General features: G+C 55.4%; 1 protein-coding gene across 1 annotated transcript in view, besides 3 other annotated features; it reads left to right on the top strand.

Annotated features, from left to right (window-relative positions):
• Positions 1-2,733: 2,733 nt before the first annotated feature.
• CARD10 (caspase recruitment domain family member 10) overlaps positions 2,734-17,725 on the top strand; it is a 29,054-nt gene continuing 14,062 nt past the window's right edge. The window contains exons 1-8 of the mRNA NM_014550.4: positions 2,734-3,183; positions 4,041-4,178; positions 5,851-6,176; positions 11,728-11,937; positions 13,467-13,622; positions 14,195-14,320; positions 15,766-15,957; positions 17,380-17,514. Coding sequence (NP_055365.2) covers positions 2,949-3,183; positions 4,041-4,178; positions 5,851-6,176; positions 11,728-11,937; positions 13,467-13,622; positions 14,195-14,320; positions 15,766-15,957; positions 17,380-17,514 — 1,518 coding nt within the window. The 5' untranslated portion in view covers positions 2,734-2,948. The remainder of the gene's footprint in view (positions 3,184-4,040; positions 4,179-5,850; positions 6,177-11,727; positions 11,938-13,466; positions 13,623-14,194; positions 14,321-15,765; positions 15,958-17,379; positions 17,515-17,725) is intronic.
• Positions 9,698-10,211: an enhancer, noted in NCBI's record as "H3K4me1 hESC enhancer chr22:37907945-37908458 (GRCh37/hg19 assembly coordinates)". NCBI's record gives its function as "activates a minimal SCP1, AML or CMV promoter by ChIP-STARR-seq in naive H9 embryonic stem cells {active_cell/tissue: H9 hESC(naive)}" and the evidence as "EXISTENCE:reporter gene assay evidence [ECO:0000049][PMID:30033119]".
• Positions 12,369-13,195: an enhancer, noted in NCBI's record as "H3K27ac-H3K4me1 hESC enhancer chr22:37904961-37905787 (GRCh37/hg19 assembly coordinates)". NCBI's record gives its function as "activates a minimal SCP1, AML or CMV promoter by ChIP-STARR-seq in primed H9 embryonic stem cells {active_cell/tissue: H9 hESC(primed)}" and the evidence as "EXISTENCE:reporter gene assay evidence [ECO:0000049][PMID:30033119]".
• Positions 13,196-14,024: an enhancer, noted in NCBI's record as "H3K27ac-H3K4me1 hESC enhancer chr22:37904132-37904960 (GRCh37/hg19 assembly coordinates)". NCBI's record gives its function as "activates a minimal SCP1, AML or CMV promoter by ChIP-STARR-seq in primed H9 embryonic stem cells {active_cell/tissue: H9 hESC(primed)}" and the evidence as "EXISTENCE:reporter gene assay evidence [ECO:0000049][PMID:30033119]".

The raw sequence follows: 17,725 nt of genomic DNA, 5'->3' as shown, positions 1-17,725 counted from the left end.
CTGGGTGACAGAGCCAGACCTTGTCTAAGAAAAACCTCCCAAACCAAACAAACATCATTAAGGCTGCAGAGTGGAGAACATACCATAGCCCATAGCACTGTGGGTGGGAGTTTGTGGGGGCATGTGTGGCTTGGACCAGTGGGGCTACAGGCAGTAGGACGCAGACTGGTTTGAAACATGGAGGCATGCCTTTTGATGAGTTGGGAAGAGGACTGACATTCCTGTACCCACTTCACATATGGAGAGACTGCAACTCAGAGGCAGTCCCTGCACATGGGGGACTATTGTCCACTTTTCAGATGTAGAAGTTGAGAGGGGGAGGAATTTGTCCGAGTAGATGCAGCTAAGGCTGAATGTTGGTCTCCAGGGCACCCTCCACTCCTGGACTGTCTGCCTTTGTAGGTGTGGCTGGGACTACTCACCGCCTGCCTTTTGCAGACAGGGAAATGGAGACTCAAAGAAGAACAATACTCATAGCGGTGAGCCCGCGATAGAACCCAGGGCCCCTGGTACAAAGTCTAGATTCTCGGTGTCCCTGCTGTAGTCCCTGCCCGCCTTCCTGGCATAGCTATAGAGAGAAGATGAATGTAGCAGAACTCACAAGAGGACAATAATGAACATGGTACCTAATCACACGCTTGCACACTCGGTGCTATGGACGCCCGGGGACAGGGGAAAGATGAGGAGGCTCAGATGTTTGTGGGGAAGTGGGTACGCCCCTGTCTGCCTCCTGCCTGGCTTGATGCCCACAGTGGGTGGGTGTGTATGTGTGCATGTGTATGTGATGGTGCGTGTGCATGCCTGTATAATTGTACATGTGAATGTGGGAGTGTGGTACCCAAAGGAACTCTGTCGCTTCCCCTGGAATGCTGGGCACCAGGGGCACTCGGTGTACCCAGCTACCTGCCTGTTCAGACCCAGTGTGCCCTCACTTCTCTGTCCACTTATCTGCAGAGACCTCTTGGCTTCTGTGCCTTATCTTTAGGCCCTGCTTAGCTTCTCGATGAAAAAATAATTAACCATAGCCTCATTTTCCAAGGCGTCCATCCCGCTCTGCTGGCCAAGTTAAAAATATTCACGAGGAGTAGGGCTGCTGGTGGGAGGAGCTGCCGCTCTGCGTGGGAGGGCAACCAAGGCCACAGAGAGGGGAAGGACGTATTGAAAGGGAGGTCTGGTGTGTGCCTGGACTCGGGGCTTGGAGAGGACAGAGGCCAGGGGCTGGGCTCCGGCCTATTCCCATTGTGGCCTCGCTGTGTGAATTTGGGCAAGTTCCTTGCCCTCTCTGAGCTCTGCTTCCTCCTTTGTTAATTGAGGAATTTGCACTAGAATTCAGTTCTCCCAAAGCATTTCTTCTGCATGTAAACAGGTGACACCCAAAACAAAAACAAATGTACAACAAATGCAAACCAAAAAAAGGCTGTGGTTAATTAAGTTTGGAAAAGGACACCAGGATATATAAAGTTAAATCTGTTTCTTTACTGCTGGGGCTTTTTTTTTTTTTTTTTTTTTTTTTGAGGGGGAGTCTCATTCTGTTGCCCGGGCTGCTGGAGTGCAGTGGCACGATATCACTGCAACCTCCGCCTCCTGGGTTCAAGCGATTCTCGTGCCTCAGCCTCCCGAGTAGCTGGGATTACAGACGCGCACTACCACGTCTAGCTAATTTTTATATTTTTAGTAGAGATGGGGTTTCGCCATATTGGTCAGGCTGGTCTCGAACTCCTGACCTCAGGTGATCCACTCGCCTCGGTCTCCCAAAGTGTCGGGATTCCAGGCATGAGCCACCGCCCCCGGCCTTAATTTAAGCAGGGCTTTTCAGAGCCTTTATTGATTGAAACCTTAATTCTTTGGATAAGTAATACATATGTCCACGGCATCTAATTCAGAAGTTGTGGAAGGCGATTAGGGAGCTCACACCTCTTTCCTGTACCGGTTGTGCCTCCTCTGTTCCTCCCTGGCAGCAGGTACCTGGCAGCTTCTAATGCATAGCGAGACTGTATCGCATGCACCAGCAGATACCGTGTAGACTCGGCCAGTATCATGGTAAGACACCACCGGCCTCCCAGGCAGGAGCGGGAGTATGGATGGCTAGTCACAGCCCGCCCCCAGCATCTCTGGGACCAACACCTGGAGGAATACCCTTTGAGAATTGTGGGGTCCCTGGTCCTCAAGTGCCACGGGAGTTTGCGTAAGAGGGGAGTTGGCAGTGCTGCCCTGCAGGTTCAGACCCCCATCTTGCAGAAAGCCCCCATGACCTCTGCCCATTGCTGTCCCCCGCGGGGCTGTCCTGCGCTCCAGGGAAGCTCCCGCGCCCGCAGTGCATGTGGGGACCCGAGAAGGGCAAGCCCAGCTTGAGTGCCCGCGGGCTGCGCCGGGCGTGAGCGGCTAGCCCCGCACGGGCGGGCGCGCTGTGGGCGTGGGGAGGCGATGCGCGTGGCCCGGGGAAGGTGTGTCGCGGCGCGCGGGGGGTGTGAGCGCGCCTGCCCGCCCCCGCCCCGCCCAGAGGCCGGGCAGGTGTGGGCGGGCGGCCAGGACCCCGCCGAGCCGGGCTGGAGAGCCGGCGGGAAACAGGAAGCAGGGGGAGGCGCAGCCGGACGGCCGGGAGGGAGGGCGTGCAGACGGACGCGCGGGGTGGCCGGGGGCCGGACGCACGACCCGGGGCGGGCGGCAATGTGGGGAGGCCCGGGCAGCCCAGGAGGCTGCGGGGACGGGGGCGGAGCCGGGGGCGCCACGGGCACCGCCCCCCTGCGCCGGCGGAGCCGCCGCCCGAGTGCGGACCCGGGAGCCCGAGGCGACTGTAGCGTGCGGGGTGAGTCGCGGGGAGCTCGGGGCGCGCCCCCGACGGCGGGTCTGCGGACGACGCCCCGGGGGTGCTTGGCCGCACATCTAGCCCTAGGGAGCCCTGGTCGACCCCCGTGCGCCTCTTGCCCGCAGACCCTGAGGACACGGCCATGCCGGGCCGGGCGGAGGCGGGGGAGGCCGAGGAGGAGGCCGGGGCCGGCTCGGGGTCTGAGGCGGAGGAGGACGCGCTGTGGGAGCGAATCGAGGGCGTCCGGCATCGGCTGGCTCGCGCCCTGAACCCGGCCAAGCTCACGCCGTATCTGCGCCAGTGCCGGGTCATCGACGAGCAGGACGAGGAGGAGGTGCTGAGCACCTACCGCTTCCCGTGCCGCGTCAACCGCACCGGTGAGCCGCGGGTCCCGAGTGGGCCACGACCTGGGCCGGCCGTGCCCTGGGGCGCAGCGCCCACAGCCGTGTAGCGCGAAGCTAGGGCTCTGCTGCCCTGGGGCTCGGTCTCCGCATCAGTAGAGTGGGCCGGCTGGGTATGCCCACCAGCCTGCCTCCTCCCCACCCACCACTGCGCCTTGGCGGTCCGCGTTGCCCACACCGGGGTCAGAGTTTTGTCTCTTGGGGTTCTCTCCCACTTCCTGGGTCCACATTAGAGCAGAAGGTTGGATGTGGCTGCCAGGGCCGGCTGGGCCTGGGACCTCCCGGTCACAGCCGGTGGACTTGGCACCTTTCCTGCGCTCTTTGATCTCCGAGTTCTGTCTGTCCCCTCCTCTGTGCACCATACACTCCTGGGGGAGTCCTTTTTCAAGTGTCAAGATCCGTCTCAGCTTTACGTGGGTCCCCACTCCCACAGGGTGTGCCTTTGAACCAGAACTCAAAAAGGCATGATGGAATGGTCTTTAATGGTGGAATTTCAGGCATGGCCAATGGGAGAAGTATTTTCTTTGCTTCTGGGGATAGAGGGGGCTTCTCTGTGCCATTGAAAAGGCAGGCTGCATTTGCGGGCCGGCATCTGTGTCTGTGGGGGGTGTTGGGGAGCTCTGGGAGCCCAGGAGTCATGAGGGAATGTGCTCCCCTGGCTGTGGCAGAATGGCTCTCTTCTCTTCCCTGATGTGTTGGGACAGGCCCCTGTGTGTGTCACTGGCTCAAAAATCTGGGGAACGTGGGCCTGGAGCATGGTGGGGGCAGAAGCAACCAGGCACCTGGGGAGGCCTTCCCCTAGACCCTGGGTACATCCCCCCACTACTCTGTAGGGCGCCTGATGGACATCTTGCGCTGCCGTGGCAAGAGGGGCTATGAGGCCTTCCTGGAAGCCCTGGAGTTCTACTACCCCGAACACTTCACGCTGCTCACGGGCCAGGAACCCGCCCAGCGCTGCTCCATGATCCTCGGTGAGTGGATCTGCGGTGGATGCTGGCACCTCGGACTCCAGTGCACAGGCTCCTTTCCCCATCCCTGTTAGGGAGGCGCTCCCACTATGCCTGTTGAACAGTAAGGGAAACTGAGGCATGGAGAGGCTGAAGGGGCTTGCCCAGGGCCCCACGGTAGGCTGAGGGTGGGGCTGGGTGCTAGTGCCGTTATTCCAAGTTCAGAGCCACATGCTTAAGATGGCTCTTTCTTCGTGATACTGTTTTCAGACATATGTCTGACATACACAGATGTATAGTTTTTTATGTAAAAAAATACAGAGGCTCCAGGTGACTTTGAATTTTTTTTTTTTTGAGACAGTGTCTTGCTCTGTCACCAGGCTGGAGTGCAGTGGCGCGATCTCAGCTCACTGCAACCTCCGCCTCCCAGGTTCAAGCGATTCTCCTGCCTCAGCCTCCCGAGTAGCTGGGATTACAGGCATGGGCCACCACGCCCTGCTAATTTTTGTATTTTTATTTTTAATAGAGATGGGGTTTCATCATGTTGGCCAGGATGGTCTTGATTTCCTGACCTTGTGATCCGCCTGCCTCGGCCTCCCAGAGTGCTGGGATTACAGGCGTGAGCCACTGCGCCTAGCTGAATTTTTTTATATAAAAAACACAAACACATACACACACGCACACACGCCTACGTGTGTATTTTGCTTTTTCTTAGAACAACTGATTTTAGTGATTCTTTCACCTCTGTTACATACACTTGTTTTAAGTGACTGCATACTGTTCATTAGTGAAGTTAGGACATAATTCATTTAACCCATTTCCAGTTGATGGATACCTAGGTTTCCAGTTTTGTATTATTACAACGATACGGGAACATCCTTGTATGTGCGTCTTTGTGCAAATGTGTCTCAGGCGAAGAGGTTCTGAGAAGAATTTCTCAAAGAGTCTGTGTATTTTAACTGTTAAATCAACATACCTCCTACCAGGAATGTGTAAGGGCCCATTTGAATCCTGGGGATCATGTTTAAACGTTTTTACCATTCTGATATGTAAAAAATAATGTTATTGTTTTAAGTTTATATTTCATTGAGTGATACAGTTCACAGGTTACTAGTTATTAAACCTTGGGTAAATAACTGCTCTGTGCTTCAGTTTTTCTGTCTTTAAGATGGGTACAATAATAGTACCTACCTTACAGTGTTGTCATAAAGATTAAGATATATCTAGCACAAAGAATGAAGTTAACAAATATTAGTAGCTACTGTAATTATTGTTGATAGGTTGGTGCATATTTTCCTGTATTTATTAACTATTTTTATTTTGGGACTTGCCTATTGATAGTTTTTGTCCATATTTTTATTTGGTTGTTGATCTTATTGATTTGTAGGAGCTCTTTATATATTACGGCTCTGAGTTCTTGTTATATTTTCTCCCACTCTGTTGCTTATTAACTTTGTTACATCTTTCATTTTTCAAAGGTTTAAACATTTTTATATGGATTTGTCCATCTTTTTTCTCTTATAACTCCTGGATTTTGTGTGTTGTTTAGGAAGACCTCCCCTGCTCCCAATTCTACAAATATATTCCAGAATTTCCCTCTAGTGTTTTTATGGTTTGAGTTTTTTGACACAGTATGTTATCTCCTGGATTTTACTTGCCTGAGCTGCCTATTCTGTCCCCTGTTCTGTCCTGGCAGATGAGGAGGGGCCTGAGGGCCTGACCCAATTCTTGATGACAGAGGTGCGACGGCTGCGGGAAGCTCGCAAGAGCCAGCTGCAGCGGGAGCAGCAACTGCAGGCCCGGGGCCGGGTGCTCGAGGAGGAGCGGGCAGGGCTGGAGCAGCGGCTGCGGGACCAGCAGCAGGCTCAGGAGCGCTGTCAACGGCTGCGGGAGGACTGGGAGGCGGGCAGCCTGGAGCTGCTGCGGCTCAAGGATGAGAACTACATGATCGCCATGCGCCTGGCACAGCTCAGTGAGGAGAAGAACTCGGCTGTACTTCGCAGCCGTGACCTGCAGCTGGCGGTAGGCCCTGGGGAGATGGGTCGGGGAGGCAAGGGAAGGGGCAGCTTTTGCAATGTAGTAGCCAGCCAGCCTGTGTCCCAGAGCCACCATTGCTGGCTCTTTGACGTGGATAAGTCCTTTTAGTGCTCGGTGTACCTACTTCATTGGGTTATGACTGTGGTTCTCAATGGGGGGTGATTCTGACCCCCTAGAAACATCTGGCCATGTCTAGGAAATATTTCTGGTTGTCACAATTAGTGGGGATTTATTGGCATCTGGTGTGTAGAGGCCAGGGATGCTGTCAAACGCCCTGCAGGGCACAGGACAGTCCCCAGCAAAGAATTACCTAGCCTAAAACATCGGTAGGGCCGGGGCCAAGAAACACTGGGTTATGAGGATTTGATAAGTTGTTTTTTTTTTTTTTTTTTTTGAGATGGAGTCTCACCCTTGTTGCCCAGGCTGGAGTGCAGTGGTGTGATCTCGGCTCCTTGCAGCCTCTGCCTCCCGGGTTCCAGCGATTCTCCTGCCTCAGCTTCCCGGGTAGCTGGGATTACAGGCTCGTGCCACCACACCCAGCTAATTTTTGTATTTTTAGTAGAGATGGGGTTTCACCATGTTGACCCGGCTGGTCTCGAACTCCTGACCTCAGGTGATCTGCCCGCCTCGGCCTCCCAAAGTGCTGGGATTACAGGCGTGAGCCACCGTACCTGGCCCGGTGAGTTTAAGACACAGTTTCAAACATGTACAGTCCCTAGCACACTGCTCACAACTTGTGTCATCAGTAGCCATTGTTGATATTATTATCAAGAGACACATAGGTTAAACATCATGTCTTCTAATCCTCACCAAAGCACCATACGCCAAGCCCTCATTTGCAAATACAGACTCTGAGACTCAGATTAGTGAAAGGACTTGCTCAAGGTCACAGAGCCAGGAAGCGGCACAGCCTGGATTTGAACCGGGTCCGGCTGGCTCCAGTGCCAGCCCCCTTCCCACGCTGCTGTTCCGCCTACTCCCTGTGTGGGGAAGTCTCACCTGACTCCCTCCAGCAGCAAGTGAGGCTGTGCCTCCTACTGCATCTCACTTTCTTGGTTTCTGACTGGGACTCAGCAGGGGGATAATACCAGTATTTGACTGCCACAGGGCGTTGTTCCAAGGATTTAATGAGCTGATCCACGTCAAGGGCTTAGCAGTGCAGGCCGCACGGCACGCAGGAGGCTCTCTCCAGCCATGTTGCTCGAGGCTGCACAGTGGGTTCTGACCGTGGAGTTTGAAGCCTCCCTACCCCAGGAGCCTTGGGCCGTGGCTACAGCATTGCAGGTGGCTGTGAGGCTGTAGATGTGGGTGCACTGGTGTGCCAGTCCTCGGTTTGTGCACGCCAGGTGGGTCGATATCTTGGGGAGGTGAGCCCTGATGGGGGTGTTGAGGCCACCAGTTGAAGGGTCCAGGCTGCTGGTCCTGCTTGAGGATGTAGGTGGCTGGTTTGAGGTTGTGAGATGACCTTGAGGCTATCGTTCGAGGGCCTGGTTGGTGTGTGGCAGGAGACGGAGGCTTTCTGAGGAGTGATGGGCAGGGACAGGGACATGTCCCAGGCCTGCTCTACTGTGAAAAACCATGTGGCATGGGGAAGGCTTTCCTTTCTGTGCCTCAGTTTCCTCATCCTCATCACAGATAAGGATGATGTAACAATTATAAAACGGCCTTGTGCTTTATAGATACCATCCTCAGTGCTTGCCATGCACAGACCCCTTTAATTTTCCAGCCACCCTACGCTGGGGTGGACAACACTATCTTCCCCATTTCTAGAGGAGGAAACTGAGGCACAGAGAAGTTGGTTAGAGCACTTTCCCAATGTCCTGGGATTGAAGGAATTTTTTTTTTTTTTTTTTTGAGATGGAGTCTTGCTTTGTTACCCAGGCTTGAGTGCAGTGGTGAGATCTTTGCTCACTGCAACCTCTGCCTCCCACGTTCAAGCGATTCTCCTGCCTCAGCCTCCTGAGTAGCTGGGATTACAGGTGTGTGCCACCATGCCTGGCTAATTTTTTTTTTGTATTTTTAGTAGAGATGGGGTTTCACCATGTTAGCCAGGCTGGTGTCAAACTCCTGACCTCAGGCGATCTGCCCGCCTCAGCCTCCCAAAGTGCTGGATTACAGGCATGAGCCACTGTGTTCAGCCGGATTGAAGGATTTCTGAGTTGGCTCTCAGCACTGCTGAGGGGCGGTGGCTGGCAGGTAGGAGTGCTCCCCTTTCTTTACCCAGAGGGCTTCCCCTTTTTTCTGAAACAGACATGGGGCTTGCTGTAGGGTTTTCTCAGAAGAAATAATTTACTGCTTAGAGAGGACGGCGTGAGGGCTGCAGGCTGGGGGTACTGGGAGGGGCTGCAGCCCTCACGGCTTGTCCCACCTTTGGGTTGGGTGTGATGCGATTGGGAGATGTCCTGCGTGTGTGGCCATCTGGGGGCTGCTGGGACAGGGGAGGGGGATGGAAAAGAGATGGTCGGAGGTGCCTCTGTAGTCTGCAGGTCATCTGCCTCTACGCAGAGTGGCTGCTTTTTCCTATTTTAGGGACCTAAGAAGTGAAATTGGCCAGGCGCAGTGGCTCATGCCTGTAATCCCAGCACTTTGGGAGGCTGAGGCGGGTGGATCATGAGGTCAGAAGATTGAGACCATCCCGGCTAACGTGGTGAAACCCCGTCTGTACTAAAAATACAAAAAATTAGCCGGGCGTGGTGGCATGCACCTGTGGTCTCAGGGACTCGGGAGGCTGAGGCAGGAGAATTGCTTGAACCCGGGAGGTGGAGGTTGCAGTGAGTCAAGATTGAGCCACTGCACTCCAGCTTGGGCGACACAGCGAGACTCTGTCTCAAAAAACAACAACAAAAAAAGAAGTGAAATTAAACTTAGCTACTATAAATTTACCTTAATTTATAATTTATGTTTGGAGCTTTTCTGCTCCAAAATTAACAAAGGTGTTGCAGATGGATCTGAACAGAGCACCTGATCGTGCCTGGCTTGGCGGCTTGCATCCCCACCTCCCATAGGCAGGTGTGTGGCGGCTGGGATTTAATACCCTGTTTTATAAGGTGCAAATTTAATGAGCTGTTATTTCTAAGCAACATAAACTGAAGGAACGAACGCTATAATTTTGTGCTCAGTGAGTTTGTACGCCGGGATTAAATGCATCCGTATTTCCTGTTGCTCGTCGGAGACTCCCAGGTGTCCTGTCCTCTGAGCTCATCAGGGAAGCCGGCTGGCCAGGGGTCAGGCAGGAGGCCCTGGTGTGTGGCTGCGGTTTGCTGAGAGGGTGTGACCACAGTTGTCCTTGTAACGAGCTGTCTTTCTCTGGCTGTTCACAAAGCATGTTTTGTGAGTGGAAAGGAATGCGGGAGTCATGAATTTCTTTCTGAGTCTCTTGCGGAGGAGGAGGAGTGGACTGTTAATTTGTAGAATTGCCTGACCCAGCCTCCAGACCCGTGTGTGTGTGTGTGTGTGTGTGTGTGTGTGTGTGTGTGTGTGTGTGTGTGTGTGGAGGGGGGGCTGCCATTCTAACCTCTCAAGGCTGGGGAACTAGCAAGTCACTTTCCAAGAGAGGCCAGGGGACTCCTAGGGCACCAAATATTGCATGCCTGACTGTAGCACCAGAAGTCATTGTGACCTTTTCCCAACAATGACTTCATTTTATGGCCTGCCACCTGCTGCCACTCTTGTCACTGTCTGGCCACCTCAGACCCCACATGCGTCACGCTTGGCTGAGTGCACTCATAGTCCAGCAAACTGGCCATGCACGTCTGCTCCCAGCTTGGTGGTCACACCACAGCTGCCCACCCCCCATACCAGGCCAACTTCTGGCTGCACACTCCGAACTGGTGATTGGTTAGGGGCATGGGATTTTGTTTGAAGCTGTGAAGACAGCCACGGTCACACTGTGGCAGCTCTGTAGCCCTTCATAGTTTAGAGGCCTCTGCCCACTTGCTGTCTTGTTTGATTCTTGCAACACCTTTGGGAGGCAAATGATGGGGCCAGGGGATTGACTGGGCCCATTTTACTGATGAGGAAACTGAGGCCCAGAGGAGGTAAGTGACTTGCTCAGGATGACAGAGCCTAGAAGTAGCAAAATTGAAACCTGAACCCTGGAACTGGAGCTCTTGAGGGAGATGAACCAACAGCCAAATCTTCTGGAGTGGAGGCTTTGTTAGGAATTCCTTTCAGGGTGGACCAGACCAAGTCTGAGTCTCTGAGAGTGTGTTGAGGTGAGATGTTGGCTTGTTGCGGGGAGCATCTGGTTCCCGGACTGGATGAGTCCCTCAACTCTCAAAACCATTGCCCTCTCCTCTCCCCTCACACCCCCCCCGTACAGATGAGATGATTGAGGCACAGAGAGGGGCCATGACTTGCCCAGGGTCACACTGAGCTAGAGACGGAGCTGGGGTCTGACCCTGTTTTTTTTTTTTTTCTCCTTCTTTCTTTCTTCTTTCTTCCTTCTTCCTTCTTTCCTCCTCCCACTCTGCCCTCCTCCCGCCTCCTCCTTCTCCTTCTCCTCCTCCTCCTTCTCCTTCTACCTCTTCCCCCTCCCTCCTCCTCCCCTCCTCCTCCTCACCCCCTTCTCCTTCTTCTTCTTTTTTTTTTTTTTTTTTTTGAGACAGGGTCTCGCTCTGTTGCCCAGGCTGGAGTGCAGTGGCACGATTATGGTTCACTGCAGCCTCAACCTCCCAAAGCTCAAGTGATTCTCCCGCTTCAGCCTCCTGAGTAGCTGGGATAATAGGCGCGCACCACCACACCCAACTAATGTTTTAAATTTTTTTTGTCGAGACGAGGTCTCACTGTGTTAACTAGGCTAGTCTCCATCTGCCCGCCTCGGCCTTCTAAAGTGTTAGGCCTGGTTTCCCTTATTCTTTTTTTTTTTTTTTTTTTTGAGACAGAGTCTTGCTCTGCTGCCCAGGCTGGAGTGTAGCGGCGCAATCTTGGCTCACTGTAACCTCCATCTCCTGGGTTCAAATGATTCTCGTGCCTCAATCTCCCTAGTAGCTGGGACTACAGGCATGTGCCACCACGCCCAGCTCATTTTTGTATTTTTAGTAGAGACGGGGTTTCACCATGTTGGTCAGGCTGGTCTCAAACTCCTGACCTCAGGTGATCCACTGAGGGCCCGCCTCAGCCTCCCAAAGTGCTGGGATTACAGGCGTGAGCCACTGTGCCTGGCCCCACTTCTTCTTGATGCGGCCCTCCTCCTTTTCTGCCATGAGAATACTGGGCTAAATTGACGGGAGTCAGTGTCAGAAGTGCGGGACAGACAGCGTGTCGTGATGCAGCATGTCCGCCCACAAGTTCTTAGAGTGGATTCCCCTGGGAGGGTGTCCTTGGCCTTGCTACCCACTGCTCCTTCCTCAGCCCTGTTTGTTTTATATCTGTCCAGCCTGTCCTGTTTTCATAGACAAGCCTGGGGAGGACTCCTGCTTCGGCTTCTCTGGGAATCTGGGAGGCACCCAGGAGTGAGGGAGCAGGTCTTCCCACCCCTGTAACCCGTGGCTCCCAGTGTGTCTCCCTCTGGGCTGACCCATGTCTTGGGCTCCAGGTGGATCAGCTCAAGCTCAAAGTGAGTCGGCTGGAGGAAGAGTGTGCACTGCTTCGAAGGGCCAGGGGCCCGCCCCCTGGGGCAGAGGAGAAGGAGAAGGAGAAGGAGAAGGAGAAGGAGCCAGACAATGTGGACCTTGTCTCTGAGCTGCGTGCTGAGAACCAGCGGCTGACGGCGTCACTGCGGGAGTTGCAGGAGGGCCTGCAGCAGGTACCAGGGCCAGGGCTTGTGGGCACAGGCTGGGGGGTGGTCAGGAGGGCCTGCAGCAGGTACTGGGGCTTGTGGGCACAGGCTGCGGGGTGGGGGATCAGGAAGGCCTGCAGCAGGTAGCAGGGCCAGGGCTTCTGGGCACAGGCTGGGTAGCGGGGCTCAGGAGGGCCTGCAGCAGGTACCAGGGCTGGGGCCCATGGGCACGGGGGTGGGGGGTGGTCAGGAGGGCCTGCGGTAGGTACCAGGGCTGGGGCTTGTGGGCACAGGCTGGCAGGAGGTCAGGAGGGCCTGCAGCAGGTACCAGGGCTGGGGCCCATGGGCACGGGGGTGGGGGGTGGTCAGGAGGGCCTGCGGTAGGTACCAGGGCTGGGGCTTGTGGGCACAGGCTGGCAGGAGGTCAGGAGGGCCTGCAGCAGGTACCAGGGCTGGGGCCCATGGGCATGGGGGTCGGGGGAGGTCAGAAGGACCTGCAGCAGGTACCAGGGCTGGGCCTCGTGGCCATGGGGGTTGAGGGGGGGTCAGGAGGGCCTGCAGCAGGTACCAGGGCCAGCGTTCATGGGCACAGGCTGCGGGGAGGTCAGGAGGGCCTGCAGCAGGTACTAGGGCCAGGGCTCGTGGACATGGAGTGGGGGTGGGGGTCAGACCCGGAAAACAGGCCCTCTTGCTGTTTGCTTATCCTCCCAAGGCCTGGGAAGCTGAGGATTTCAGAACCAGGGATCTGAGATCTGGATGGAGTCCCGGTAGCCTCTTGCCTGAAGCTCTGAGCTGAGGGCCCTTAGCACGTGGCTGTCCCTGGTTGTCTGGTCTAGGGTGTGTGAGCAGCCTCCAGAAGGTCCTCAAACTCCCTAAAACTGCCCCCCTGATTTTGAGTGTGAGCATTTTTCTGGGGAAAGGGCCCCAGCTTTAATTTGATTTGTAGAGGGTGTGGCCTGGGGGCCCTAGGGCTTGCTTAGTGTCCTGCGGCAGGTCAGTGGCAGGTCAGCAGCTGCATGGGCCTGCCTCCTGGCCATTGTTCCACACAGGAAGTGGGGGATGAGAGCCAGTGTGTTTCATGGGGTTGGGGCACTTGGCTGGGGTGTGGGTCTGGGGGCAAGATCTTGGGCCCAGGGTCTACCTGTATGGGCCAGGCTCAGCCCCTTGAAGACCCCTAGTCATGGGGGTGGGAGTAGGTCTTGGGAATGGCCTCCGTCTGCTGCCCTGGATGGTGGGTGAGGGCCAGAGCACGAGTGTGTGCCTGGTGCTTGTTTAGGAATAATCCTGGGTGAACTTGTCCAGTCACACCCTTCTCCACTTAGCTTATTAGCTTACTTGTACCCCAGATACTCCCTGGAGGGTGGGTAGGGCTTGTGGGGCCACACCCACTCTGCCGATGGGGAGACAGAGATCCAGAGAGGGTCGAGGCCCCGGGCCAGCATGGCAGAGCTGGTCAGGTGGGTTTGGAGGGCTGAGAGCTGCGTGTCCCCTTCCTTCCCACACCCAGGGTGGGCCCCTAGCCAGACCCTGAGGTGGCCCTGCCCTGTGATCCCCAGGAGGCGAGCCGGCCGGGGGCCCCGGGCTCCGAGCGCATCCTGCTGGACATCCTAGAGCATGACTGGCGGGAGGCGCAGGACAGCAGGCAGGAGCTGTGCCAGAAGCTGCATGCCGTGCAGGGGGAGCTGCAGTGGGCCGAGGAGCTGCGCGACCAGGTGGGGCCCTGCCCGTGCCCTGCCCCTTGTGCGGGAGGGTGTCAGGCAGGGCCTGTGTGCTCACGCCTTCCCTGAGCATCTGCTTGACGCAGGCGCCGCGCTGAGAACTGCATTCATTTGTTCTCAGATGTTGACGGAGGCACCCTTCTAGGCGCTTGAGATGCCGCAGTGAGCAAAACAAAGGTGCCTTTTCCTTGAGGGGGAACTCCAGCAGGGGAGACTGGCAGTATGTGAGATACACAGTCCCACGTCAGCTATTTCATGTAGTCAAAGGCGATGAGCACCGTGGGAGATGCAGAGCTGGGGAAGGGGCCGGTTGCAGTTTGAGTGGGGAGGCCAAGGGTGGCCGGATGGGTGAAATGATGATCATTCTTCTCGTTTTACAGATTAGGCAGTTGAGGGCCTGTGAGGTAAAGTCAGTGGCTCAGACCACTCCACTGGGCAGGAGGGGACTTGTTATTGGGTCTCAGACTGTTGGTGAGCGTCTCTCACTGGCCCTCCTGGGCACCTGCTGGTTAGCTTTCTCATGGTCCCCAGCCCTGTGGTCTGACCCCGCCCCGTGCCACCCTCAGTACCTGCAGGAGATGGAAGACCTGCGGCTCAAGCACCGCACGCTGCAGAAGGACTGTGACCTGTACAAGCACCGCATGGCCACTGTCCTGGCCCAACTGGAGGAGATTGAGAAGGAGCGAGACCAGGTGAGCCCAGCCTGCGTGTACGAGGCCCTGGGCCAGTTGCTGCTTCCCATATGGGAGGAGACAAGGAGCAATGGAGGGGACTAGAATGGTAGAAAGAGACGTTAGCCGCTCCCTGTTGGGTTAGGACGGGGCACAAAGGCTGGGGGAACCAGACAGGAGACCTGGAGCCCTTGAGATACCAGCCTTACACCCTGGACCCACTGGCCTCATCTGAGCTCCTGTGGCAGTTACAGAAGCTGGTCCTGGTGTCTTCATTTTTGAATCCCTTGTTCTGTCCATCTCAAAGACAAGGCCAGCACAGAGGGAGTGCTTACAAATAGAAGCCGATGAAGAAATTCTCAAAAGTTTTGGCTTTCAGTCCCTGGGCACTATGACCCTTGTCTCCTGCCAAGGTTGTGGGGTGGGCTGAGGACCTCCGGCCAGTGCCACCAGGCCCCCGAGCCTCCTTGTGTGAGGTTCCATCTGCAGCGGGGAAGGGCAGGAGGTTTTTGTCCTTAACCAGGTGTGAATCCCACTAGAGGAGTTGAAGTCTGTATATTATTGTTGTTATTACTTTTTGAGACTGAATCTAGCTCTGTTGCCCAGGTTGGAGTGCAGTGGTGCAATCTCAGCTCACTGAGGCCTCCCAGATTCAAGTGATTCTCCTGCCTCAGCCTCCCAAGTAGCTGGTATTACAGGCATGCCACCATTCCTGGCTAATTTTTGTATCTTTAGTAGAGACAGGGTTTCACTATATTGACCAGGCTGGTCTTGAACTCCTGGGCTCAACTGATCCACCTGCCTCAGCCTCCCAAAGTGCTGGGATCAAAGGCATGAGCTCCCATGCCCAGCCGAAGTCTGCATATTAGAAATGCCCTCAGAATCCCCTGGCAAGCTTGAAAGTGCAAATTTGGGGCTTCATTCTCTGGACGTTCTGATTCAGGTGGTCTGGGGTGGGCCCCAGGAATCTGCATTTTATGGGGCTGCCCCCGGCTCTCTCTGAGGCATGGGTGACAGGTCTGGACCATGGGCCCAGCTCTGGAGCCCCTGGTCTTCACTGTGGATGCAGTGGGCTGGGTTTGACTCCTGGCTTCTCCACTGACTGGGATGCTGGGAGTGAAGCCCCTGGCACACAGCAGGTCTCGTGGAAAAGTTTTCAGTTCTTGGTGAAATGGTGAGAGCCTGGATTCTGCAGATGGACTGCCCGATTTGAATCCCAGCTCTGTCGCTCCTGGCTTGGTTTCCCCAGTCTGCAGAATGAGAATAATGATATTAATAGTATCTAACTTAGCCAGTTAGTGTGAAGATATTTAAATGAGCTGATAATTTAGCTCAGGGCCCGGCACACAGTGCTCAGTAAGTGATAGCTGCCATTCTCCTTACTGTCCCCATTCTCCAAGTCATAGGCCAGGAAAGCTGGGCCAAGGTGGCTCCTTCAGCTGCTGCCTCCCCTCCCCCAACCCTAGGCCATCCAGAGCCGTGACCGGATCCAGTTGCAGTACTCACAGAGCCTCATCGAGAAGGACCAGTACCGCAAGCAGGTGCGGGGCCTGGAGGCGGAGCGGGATGAGCTGCTGACAACGCTCACCAGCCTGGAGGGCACCAAGGCTCTGCTGGAGGTTCAGCTGCAGCGGGCCCAGGGTGGCACCTGCCTCAAGGTGAGCGGGTCAAGATTGTGGAGGTCCTGGCAGGAAGGCTGGGGTCCTGGCAGGAGCTCTTGGCCAGGGCTGGGAACGTGCCGGCCCTGGTGGGAGACCTCAGCCAGGGGAGGAAGCTTGGGGGAAGTGGGAAGAGTCCTCAGTTAGGGGCGGGAACTTGAACCCAGGCTGGGCTGGGTGTGGGCTGGTGAGCAGGCGGAGGGGCATGTTGGTCTCTGAGTTTCTGGGGTTGCTTCTGGGACACTAAGAATAGTTTGGAGCTGGTCTTTGCATTTAACTGGGGAAGGCTGGCTGCCTGAGTGCCTGTGTGCATGTTAGAATGCAAAACCTGGGCCTCAGAGACCAGCTAGTCAGGACTAACATGGGCCTAAGCATCCCTCAGAGACCAGCTGGTCTAATCCTCTCATCGCACAGGGCCCAGAGAGGGTGAGGGGCTTGCCCAAGGCCACACAGCCAGCTAGCACTGGAGCTGGAGTCCCAGACCCACTGTAAATTGGATCGTGGTCCTCAGGCTGCTGCCGGGAGCTCTGCTTTTTCCTTTTTTTTTTTTTTTTGAGACAGAATCTTGCTGTATCACCCAGGCTGGATCCCAGGTTCAAGTTATTCTCGTGCCTTAGCCTCCCTAGTAGCTGGGACTACAGGTGCCTGCCACCATACCCAGCTAAGTTTTTTTTTGTATTTTCAGTAGGGATGGGGGTTTCACCATGTTGGCCAGGCTGGTTTCAAACTCCTGACCTCAAGGGATCCTCCTGCCTCAGCCTCCCAAAGTGCTGGGATTAGAGGTGCGAACGCCCAGCCTGCGTTTTCTTATTTTGAGTTGCCTGACAGTGAGCTCCGCAGGCCTGGTGTTTGAAGCACTGGGGCCTGGAGGAATATAGGAAAAGTCAGCATTAATCCAAGACTTTTTTTTTTTTTTAACCCCCAGTGGCTTTTTTGCTGTTTGGTAAAGACAGAGTCCCTTTTCATGGCCAAGAGGCCCTGCGGGTGGGGTTCCTCTTGTCCTCTCGCCTGGTTCTGTGGGTTCCAGTCTTTCAACTGGAATGCATCACAGTCCTGCCTCAGGGCCTTTGCACATGCTGTTGATCTGCCTGGACCATCCCAGCTTGACCTACTTAGCGCCTCTATACCCTTGAGTTCTCAGTTCAAACCACAGTTTCTTTGGAGAGTACTTGGACTCCCAGGCTGGGTGGGGTCTTTGTGTGTTTTCCATGCCCTGGGCACCTTCCTTCTGCTATTGTCTCAGCTTGGGGCTATTTTGTTCACATGTCTGCTGGTTTACAGTTTATCTCCCATTCTAGGCTGTGAGCTCCCTGAGGACAGGGATCTGTCCCTGTGCTGGCACATGGCAGGTGCTCAGTAAAGGACTGTGGTTGACGTGGGCCTAGCACTGCTCACCTCCTTCCTCTCCTCTCCCTCTTCCAGGCCTGTGCCTCCTCCCATTCCCTGTGCTCCAACCTCAGCAGCACTTGGAGCCTGAGCGAGTTCCCCTCCCCTCTGGGAGGCCCAGAAGCAACTGGGGAGGCAGCTGTCATGGGGGGACCTGAGCCTCACAACTCGGTAAGACAACTGCCCCATCCCAAATAAGGGGGGACACTGCTATAGCATTATTACTAATGTGGAGAGTGCTTTCTGAAGGATCCATTTCACAGGTGAGGACACTGAGGCGCAGGGAGGCCAAGTACTTTACTGAAGCTCACCCAGAACCATTTCCTTGCCAGGCATAGGTGCCAGGAGGCGTGGGGAGCCACCCGCACACTATAATCTTGCA

The sequence above is a fragment of the Homo sapiens genome, chromosome 22 (assembly GCF_000001405.40).
Source record: "Homo sapiens chromosome 22, GRCh38.p14 Primary Assembly".
Lineage (NCBI taxonomy): Eukaryota > Metazoa > Chordata > Mammalia > Primates > Hominidae > Homo > Homo sapiens.
Note: the sequence above shows the minus strand (reverse complement) of the source record. Positions and strands in the feature narration are given on the sequence as shown.